Raw genomic sequence first — 7,283 nt, 5'->3', positions numbered from 1 at the left:
ACTTTCATTTTACTAGAGGATCACAGAAGTTAAAGACTTAAAACAAACTTTGGCAATTAAAACAGGATACCAAGATGCAAATGCGTGGTTGAAATGGATCAAATATTCCATTAGCACGTTAAACAAAAGCAATTGTTATGCTTGTGCACATGCCAGGCCAGAGGCTCAGATTTTCCCCTTTCCACTAAGGTTGTCCTCCAGTTGACCAGGCGTGGGCTGAATGGTTGCTCTTTTCCAGGATTCTACAGCCTGGAGTAATAAGTCATGCCAAGCTCTCTCCACTATATTCCAAAGTCTGGCACCCTGCAGGTCAGCCCCCAAGGGCCATCCAGCTTCCCTCTCCCAACACTAAGTTCACATCGTGTCTCTCACGACAGGGAGGAAACTTAGTGCTCCTTGGAGATCTGAAGGGATGCAGTGAGCTTAAGAATTTTCCAGAGCTTATCAATCAGTCAGCCCTTGTTCATCCCCGAGTGGATGTGTGGTGGTATTGTGGTGGGCACTCTGCTGAATAACTGGAGTGGCACTTGTACTTTAGTCCAATTGGCTATCCCTTTCACCCTGGCATTTCATCAATCAGAGGGAGGAAAAATAAGACATCATAAAGCGAGAGAAGCCCCTTATGGGTCTTTTGACTCTCACGTCTATTTAGACACAATTGGAGTCCCACGGGGAATACCAGATCAACTTAAAGCTTGAAATCAAAGAGCTGCAGGATTTGAGTCAATATTTTGGCGGGTGACAGTTAATAAAAATGTAGATTGGATAAACTACATCTATTACAACCAACAGCAGCAAGTTTTTCATTAGTTAAAAGAAAAACTCATGTTGGCCCTAGCCCTGGTGCTACCTGTCCTGACAAAACCCTTTATACTCTATGTGTCAGAAAGAGAAAAAATGGCGTTGGAGTTTTAACCCAGACTGTGGGGCCCTGGCCAAGGCCTGTGGCCTATCTCTCAAAACAATGAGATGGGGTTTCCAAAGGCTGGCCCCCATGTCTAAGGGCCCTGGGAGCAACGGTGCTGTTAGCACAAGAAGCAGATAAACTAACCCTTGGGCAAAACCCGAATATAAAGCCCCCCCATGCTGTGGTAACTTTGAGGAATACCAAAGGACATCATTGGCTAACAAACGCTAGAATAACCAAGTACCAAAGCTTACTATGTGAAAATCCCCGCATAACCACTGAAGCTTGCAACACCCTAAATCCCGCCACCTTACTCCTGGTATCAGAGAGCCCAGTTGAACATAAACATGTAGAGGTATTGGACTCATTTTATTCTAGTGGGCCCAACCTCTGAGACCATCCTTGACTATCAGTAGACTGTGAGCTGTACGTGGGCAGGAGCAGCTTCGCCAACCCCTGCAAAGTGACTCTGAAGTAGACGACAAGCCCTGCTCCAGTTACACCCAGAAGCTGACTGGTTCATGCACGGCTGAAGCTGAGAAAACTCATCGCGGGACTCATTTTCCTTAAAATTTGGACTTGTACGGTAAGGACTTCAACTGACCTTCCTCAGACTGAGGACTTTTCCCAGTGTATACATCAATTCACTGAGGTAGGACAAAAAGTTGCTACAGTCCTATTATTTTGTGGTTATTATAAGTGTACCAGGACTCTAAAAAGAACTTGTTTGTATAATGCTATTCTATACAAGGTACATAGCCCAGGAAATGACCAACCTGATGTGTGTTATGACCCATCTGAGCCTCCCATGACCACAGTTTTTAAAATAAGATTAAGGACTGAGGACTGGTGGGGGTTCATAAATGATACGAGTAAAGTGTTAGCCAAAACAGAAGAAAGAGGGGTGCCCAAACAAGTCACCTTGAAATTTGATGACTGTGCTGTCATTAATAGTAATAAGTTAGGAAAAAGATGTGATTCTCTTAATTTAAAAGGAGTCTATATGGCAGAAAATAAGTGCATTTTTCATAAATTAGGACTGTGTGGAAATCAATGTGGATACTGGTCTCGTGCCATTTAGGCTACTTGGATAAAAAAGAAAAAAGAATCTTGTCCACCTTCAGAAAGGGAAAAGTGGCCCTTCCTGTACCAGTTGTCAGTGTAACCCCTTCGAACTAGTAATAACCAATCCCCTTGATCCTTGCTGGAAAAAAGGGGAGCGTATAACCCTTGAAATCAAGGGGGTTGGACTGGATCCTCGAGTAAATATCATGGTTTGAGGAGTTTATAAACGCTCTCCTGAGCCAGTATTTCAAACCTTCTATGATGAACTGAATGCGCCAGTACCAGAAATTCCAGGAAAAACAAGAAATTTGTTTTTGCAATTAGCTGAACATGTAGCCAATTCTCTCAATGTCACGTCATGTTATGTATGTGGAAGAACTGTAATGGGATATCAATGGCCATGGGAAGCCTGAGAATTAGTACCTACAGACCCAGTTCCCAATAAATTCCTGACTCAAAAGAATCACCCTGATAACTTCTGGGTCCTAAAAGCCTCAATCATTAGACAATACTGTATTGCAAGAGTGGGGGAGGACTTCACTCTTCCTGTGGGAAGACTCAGCTGCCTTGGGCAAAAACTGTATAATAGTACTACAAAAACAGCCACCTAGTGGAGTTCAAACCACACTAAGAAAAATCCATTTAGTAAATTCCCAAAGTTGCAAATTGTGTGGACCCACCCAGAGACCCACCCGGAGTCCCACTGGGACTGGACAGCCCCCACTGGATTATACTGTGTATGTGGGCATAGACCTTACGCCAAATTACTTGACCAGTGGGCAGGTAGTTGTGTTATTGACACTATTAAACCATCTTTCTTCCTACTGCCCATAAAGACAGGTGAACTCCTGGGCTTCCCTGTCTATGCTTCCCGCGAAAAGAGAAGCATAGCTATAGGAAATTGGAAAGATAATGAATGGCCCCCCTGAGAGAATCATACAATATTATGGGCCTGCTACATGGGCACAAGATGGCTTGTGGGGATACCGGACCCACATTTACATGCTCAGCTGAATCATACGGTTACAAGCTCTCTTAGAAATAATCACTAATAAGACCAGCAGAGCCTTGACTACTCTGGCCCCTCAAGAAACTCAGATGAGAAATGCTATCTATCAGAATAGATTGGCTCTCAACTACTTGCTAGCAGCTGAAGGAGGGGTCTGTGAGAAATTTAACCTTACTAATAGCTATCTACACATAGATCATCAAGGGCAAATAGTTGAAGACATAGTTAGAAATATGACATAACTGGCACATGTACCCATGCAAGTGTGGCATGGATTTGATCCTGGGGCCATGTTTGGAAAATGGTTCCCAGCTCTAGAAAGATTTAAAACCCTTATAATAGAAGTTATAATAGTAATAGAAACCTGCTTACTGTTCTGTTGTTTTCTACCTGTACTTCCTCAAATGATCAAAAGCTTCATTGCTACCTTAGTTCACCAAAATGCTTCAGCGCAAGTGTACTATATTAATCACTATTGATCTGTCTTGCAAAACGACACAGGTAGTGAGAATGAAAGTGAGAACTCCCACTATTGAGTGAAATTCTCAAAGAGGGGGAATAAGGGAGGAGACCACCCCTCGTATTGTCTTATGCCCAATTTCTTCCTCCAAAGAAAGAAGAAGTAAAAACTAAAAGGCAGAAATGAAACCAACAGGCAGACAGCCCGGTGTCATGCCCTGGGCCTGGTTAAAGATCGACCCCTGACTTAACTGGTTATGTTATCTATAGATTCCAGACATTGTATGGAAAAGCATTGTGAAAATCCCTGTCCTGTTCTGTTCTGTTCTGATTACCAGTGCATGCAGCCCCCAGTCACGTACCCCCTGCTTGCTCAATCAATCACAACCCTCTCACGCGTTGTGAGCCCTTAAAAGGGACAGGAATTGCTCACTCAGGGAGCTTGGTTTTTGGATACGTGAATCTTGCCGAAGCTCCCGGCCGAATAAAGCCCTTCCTTCTTTAACTCAGTGTCTGAGGCATTTTGTCTGTGGCTTGTCCTGCTACATTACCTATGGAAGCAAACCTTCCATTCCCCTCAGATCAGGAAGGAAGGAAGGAAGAAAGGAAGGAAGGAAGGAAAGAAGGAAAGGAAACAGCTTAAAATCTGAGAGGGGAATCCTAAAATCAAAACAGGGCAATTAATCCACCCAGTTTTCAGGCAAGTAATATCCCTGAGTAAGATAATTTTTTTGCAAGGTTTAACTTGAAATGCAACAACAGCAAACAATAAATAGCAACACAAAATAAATCAAGAATTTTTAAAATTATTTAACATAGAGAAATAGAATATAACACTAAAAAGATGAAGAGGGAACATACCATATTTAAGACAAATAAACAACCAATACTGACTAATTTTAGAAAATAAATCATAGAGGGCCTCAGCTTTTTACCCTTAAAAAATACGCGGACACTATGACACACAAATGTAAACAAAAGATAAAAATACCGTACACTGAGACGAAAAGAGTCGAGCTTTACAGGAGGTAGATATAAACACGTAACAAAAGCATACTAAAAGAAAACATAAAATAAAATATAAATGTTAATATACCTAGGCAGGGAAAAGGTGTCCATGCACATTCAAGAGCAGCTCCTTTGGGGAGAAAAGTGAAATAAACTTCTAGATACACAAGAGAAAAAAGAAAATATAAAAAACATAAAATTAGAAATGATAGAATCATACATGACTTTAGAAGATGGTATATAAAGTATGTGAAATTATAGTTGAAAGTTTATTTGAAATAACAAATAAATTGGCCGTGAAGAGAAAGCAAAATGTGCACTCTTAACAGGAGACAAAATTTCAAAAAATAAGCAAAAAGAGCAATTCATTGTATGAAGTTTGCAAGTCACAAAAAATATATAACAGTGAGGACTATCTATGCCTCAAACATGACTTCAGACCTCAAATAACTCAAATTCTGGTAGAAGCAATAAAAACTGGAATTAAATATTTAGAAAACAACGAGACAATATATAAGTAAGAGCTGAATGGTATGTAAGGTTATAATGTAAGCCCAGTGTGGAGATTGGAAGATTACTGACATTTGCAGAAAAGAAAAAAAAGGTCATTGCCATTCATCAGTTCCAATCATAATCAGCTATTCAAAACAAGAACTCAAATCCTGGGCTGGGTATACCACTTCTCTGGGACACAATGGATTTGTGGTTTTAGCATTTTTTATTGCCCATTTGTTTTGTTGTTTCTTATATTATAATATAGACAGATAAATAAAATGTGATATACAAACACACACACACAAACATACACTTATACACACAATGGAATATTATTAATCAGCTTTATAAAGAAAATTCAGACATACACTACAACATTAATGAACCTTGAGGACATTAGGCTAAATGAAATAAGTCAGTCACAAAAAGACAAATACACTATAATTCCACTTATCTGAGGTATCTAGAGTAGTCAAATTCATAGTGACAGAGAGTAGAATGGTGGTTGGCCAGGGCTGAGGGAAGAGGAAGTTGTTGTTTAATAGGCAGAGAGTTTCCGTTTTGCACGATGAAAGAGTTTCAGTGATTGGTTGGGCAACAATATGGATGTATTTCATGCCACAGAACTGTACATTTAACAATAGTCAAAATGGTAAATTTTATGTTGTGTGTATTTTACTACAATGATACATATTTTAAAAGGAATCAACAGGCCAAAAACTTCAGTAACATTATCAATTGACAACCTCTCCAAACAATGTGTGGAAAAATAAGGCCACTTGCCTGGCCCCCATTCTACAGTCTCTTGGGTCCTGGCATTTTTCTGTCACTCTCTCACATCTGCATTTTAAGCCACCACTACCTAGCTCTATCACTTCACAGTTGATCGTTTTGCATTTCTGGTAAGAGAGTCCTATTGTCTCCAGTCAACTGGGGGCATGTTTTATCATCACATGCCTCCTATTCCTGTTTCCCCAAACTTTGATAGTCTTAGGTAATTCTATCCTTAGAGAATGGATTACCCCACAAATTACTGTCACCATGTCCCCCAGCATATCTGAGGTTATATCACAATTTTACCCTCTGGATTAGATCCCTAGAATCTTGATCCTTGTCTAGAGTTTGACTCGATTTTTTATGCACCTACCTAATACCTGTGGTTTTGCTTCTCATAAACTCAAGGCGTTTGATGAAATCATAATGGCTTTAGCTTCTCTCAATACTAGCTCGGTTTATGGTCTGCCTAAGAGGACAATGCATTTTAACAGCTTCCAAGAGTCTGCAATCAAGAACACCTAGAATTTGAGTAAATGGGAACCAAAGAAAGGGTTATCTGTTGTATGGCAAAGAAAAAAAGGAGAGATGAATTTTTATCAAGTTTTTAATGTGAAATAATGTTGAATATGTAACGTCTAGTGAGATTACATTTTGTACTCTAATAGCCACTACAATTTTACCCAGAGGTTCAATTCATCCATAAGTTATTAGTGCAGACAGAGGTGAATTAATTTAAATTAGGGAAAATAGGCCTCCCTAGCTTCCTACATCATTAAGTCAAATCTGTCATTTATTTTTAAGATAAAGCTTTAATCTAAGCAATTTTCTTTTAAAGTTTTATCAAATAAAAGTACCAGCAGTTGAGAACAGAATAGTTACTACCTGGGCCATCCTTGCAAATTCCTTAGGATGACCACCTGAAGACAAGTGAGAACAGAAAGTCCTCAGGTTAGGGGGATGTGTAACAGCAGGTGGCCCTCCTTGCCCATTCCTGAGGGCAAGGAATGCTGAGACTCAGCAGGGAGGGGAAGAGAGAAAAGAGGACAGGTTTGAAATGAAGACCACATGAAAATAATTAATCAGATGGGCAGCTGTGTCACAGCCGGGAACCAGAAAGTGCATAGGAAATTGAAACTCTAAAATAATAAAAAATAATTACTTAAGAAAAAATCAACTAAGGTGAAATTGAGACCTCTATTGTTAACAAAGCCCAGGAACTAAGAGAAGCTTCCAGTGCTGACTATAAAAATTGTGGGAACTGGATCAATGAAGAAAGGCCCTTTTGAGGCAGTTATCTGAGGTTTCTCTCTTAACCCAAAACAGACTTCCTTCTGCTCCTCAGATGTTGCTCAAGATCTGATCAGATGATATTTCTGGATCAGTAGTAGGGCCACACAATGATATTTCTCATTTGCCAAAGCCATTTGGAGGTGTAGTCTAATGGTCTTTTTTGTTTCTGTATGGAAAACACAGAAGCTAGGAGGCAAAGTTTCCTTGTGGGAATAAATTATAAGAGTTTCTCATGTGATTGAGCTTTTGAAAAACTAAGAACAGCAAGAAGGT

The 7,283-nt window shown here is 39.9% G+C and overlaps 2 annotated features.

Annotated features, from left to right (window-relative positions):
- Positions 596–765: an enhancer, noted in NCBI's record as "experimental_65908 CRE fragment used in MPRA reporter constructs". NCBI's record gives its function as "activates a minimal promoter by MPRAs in K562 erythroleukemia cells, with activity observed for both the introgressed and non-introgressed 3:161765630 variant alleles {active_cell/tissue: K562}" and the evidence as "EXISTENCE:reporter gene assay evidence [ECO:0000049][PMID:34662402]".
- Positions 6,447–6,998: an enhancer, noted in NCBI's record as "OCT4-NANOG hESC enhancer chr3:161759312-161759863 (GRCh37/hg19 assembly coordinates)". NCBI's record gives its function as "activates a minimal SCP1, AML or CMV promoter by ChIP-STARR-seq in naive H9 embryonic stem cells {active_cell/tissue: H9 hESC(naive)}" and the evidence as "EXISTENCE:reporter gene assay evidence [ECO:0000049][PMID:30033119]".

Source organism: Homo sapiens, chromosome 3 (genome assembly GCF_000001405.40).
Source record: "Homo sapiens chromosome 3, GRCh38.p14 Primary Assembly".
NCBI lineage: Eukaryota > Metazoa > Chordata > Mammalia > Primates > Hominidae > Homo > Homo sapiens.
This window is presented reverse-complemented; position numbering and strand designations above follow the sequence as displayed.